Source organism: Homo sapiens, chromosome 9, assembly GCF_000001405.40.
Source record: "Homo sapiens chromosome 9, GRCh38.p14 Primary Assembly".
Classification (NCBI taxonomy): domain Eukaryota; kingdom Metazoa; phylum Chordata; class Mammalia; order Primates; family Hominidae; genus Homo; species Homo sapiens.
This window is the reverse complement of record NC_000009.12, coordinates 104231437-104234192: the sequence shown is the minus strand read 5'-3', so window position 1 is coordinate 104234192 and position 2756 is coordinate 104231437. Positions and strand designations below refer to the sequence as shown.

The window sequence follows — 2756 nt, the reverse complement described above, 5'->3', positions numbered from 1 at the left end:
CTTGAAGGACCAGCAGAATATAGACAGGTAAAGAAAGGGAGAAAGACATTCTAGGTTTAAGTAACACACCACGAATGAAGGCATGCGGTTATAAAACAGTGCTGGTCTCTTCTAGGATTTCTAATTACCAAAGACCATTTGGCAACTGGTAGCAACTTGGAAAATCTACTATATGAGTTCTGAGCAAGATGGATGTTAAGTTGTTTACCAATTAACTAGAATGTGGTAGTTAATTCCAGAGGGAATCCTAATCGAGAATCTATTTAACTGACTGCCTCTTAAGAAGGTAGAATATAGCACAGCCATGACAGCATTCAGACTAGTGTTTCTGTCAGATAAACATAATTGTTAATTTTGAATAGATCAGAATTGAGTATTTTTAAATTCCAGGACAAAAATCGTAGTCAAGTAAAGTTGGACACAATATAGAAAAGCTGATTTTTGTTGTTGACATCTATCTGCCATTGGCCCCATTAGTACACTGTTAACAATACAGGCATAGGAAGTACACATCATAGGAGTGTGTCTGAGGTTACAGGTACACTTCTGGAATGCACACTTTGTGCAAATTTTTCTGAGAATTACAATGTGAGGTTTTTGGCATTTTTCCTGTCCTGATTTGACTCCTACTCCTTGGTTTTACTGTGATGCCAGAAATACAGGTTAATTTGAGGACGTGTTACTGATAAAGGTTTGTGTAAACTTTAAGCTACTCATTCTGACATGGCCAAGTGAGACACCGACAAACATCCAGATGTCCTTAAACTTTATCTTCTCTGTACTCTGTATATAACATCCTATATTTAGTTCATTCATTTTTCTTATCACAATATTTATTCTTATTTCTTTTTGTATTCCACACTGGACTACATCCTCCTAGGGAAGAGAGACCATATCTGTCACTGCTACATTCCCTGTGACTAACCCAATCTTGGCACATCATAGATCCTCAGGAATGTTTCTATCAGCTAAAGAATGGCTGTTTTTGTACTCTCCATAACTGCATAGCAACACATGGCAGCATATAGGAGAATATTCCAAGCAGGAAATACATTACACCACAACTTTGCCTCTCACAAGGCTGCTTTGTAAAAACATCTATTACTCTGCCATCTGCCATACAACCTTTCCTTTGTTCATTTCCCAATTGCCACTTTTTAAAATAATTTCTGCCAGCTGCATCATTGCCTCCTTTCCTGCCCTTCCTGTTGAGGTGGTGATATGGTTTGGCTTTGTGTCTCCACCCAGATCTCATCTTGAATTGTAATCCCATAATCCTCACATGTCATGGAAGGAATGTGGTGATAGGTAATTGAATCATAGGGGTGGTTTCCCCCATGCTGCTTTTGTAATAGTGAGTCAGTTCTCATGAGATCTGATGGTTTTCTAAGGGGCTTTTTCCCCTTTGCTCAGCACTTCTCCTTGCTGCTGCAATGTGAGGAAGAACGTGTTTTCTTCCCCTTCTGCCATGATTGCAAGTTTCCTGAGGCCTTTCCAGCCATGCTGAACTGTGATTCAATTAAACCTCTTTCCTTTATAAATAACAGTCTCAGGTGTGTCCTTATTATTATTATTAATAGCAGCATGAGAACCAGCTAATACAGATGGGCATTATATAGGACATCTAGCCTTCTTTGCTTTTCAGATATGATGCCTTTTCAAAGCAAGACACTCCTAGGACAGAGCTTTTCTTTTCTAACATAGTTTCCTTAGATGATCCACCGAAAACCAAATTTCTCACTGTACTTGGTTTATCTCCACATTTCCTCTAGTGACTATTCCAAAACATTACTTTTCTCATATGCTGCATGCCCCTTTCTCATTCACTTTCAGGAGACAGCTTCGTATTGATCAGCAAAACAGAGCACACCTCCCTGCCTGCAAAGCCATCTGTAGTTGCAAATATCATCACATTTTCCCCTCTAGTCTTAGAAATGCCTTTCTTTCTCCTCACGGATAACTCTTTCCTTAGGCTCTTGACTCCATTCTCTTCTGTTTACCCAAGTTGTTTGCTCTACCAATTATAACACTTTCCTATAGCTTCATTGTCATACTTCCACTAGATCACTTCCCTTAGAATATATATACCTCTCATTGCTGAAAAAGGCCTCCCTTGACTCCATATCTACCTCCAGATTCTAGGCAGTTTTCCCCATTTTCCTGCCCCATTTTCAACCATCATCACACTTTTATACTCACTCTAGTGCTCAATGAATTTGAACATTTGGCTTATGCCCCTGCTACCCCACAGAAACTGCTGAGCCAAAGGTTACCTAGTTGTAATTTTCATATTAACAAATCCAAAAAAACTCTCTGCCCCAAATGATATAGAAGACCTTGATTCTTAAATATGTTAAAATTATTTGTTTTCATTATACTCTTTTTACCCCCACCCCCTATTCTTCTCACCTTTTAAAACCACTGTTTCTTGGTCTTCTTATTGGTCAATTTCTCCCCGAACACATCTTAAATTAGGATGTGTTCCTCCTGTACTGTACCCTCTCCAATTCACTTTCTACCCCTTGATTTCTCTGGGTGACCTCATCAATTATCATGGTTTTACCTACCCCCTATACAATTGCTTCAATACAGTGTCACTACCTTTGATCCCTCCTCTTGGATTAAGATAAAGAACTATCTACCATTCCAACTGGCATCACCACATAGATGTTTCAAGCAAATCAGATCCCACACTTCAAAGCTGATTTTGGGGGTTTACATACTAACTCCAGAGTTTACATACTCCAGATTTATTC

At 39.0% G+C, this 2756-nt stretch overlaps 1 annotated feature.

The window, feature by feature from the left end:
* Positions 716–1915: an enhancer, noted in NCBI's record as "CDK7 strongly-dependent group 2 enhancer chr9:106994559-106995758 (GRCh37/hg19 assembly coordinates)". NCBI's record gives its function as "activates an origin of replication core promoter dependent on BRD2, BRD4, P300/CBP, MED14 and CDK7 cofactors, with strong dependence on CDK7, by STARR-seq in HCT116 cells {active_cell/tissue: HCT116}" and the evidence as "EXISTENCE:reporter gene assay evidence [ECO:0000049][PMID:35650434]".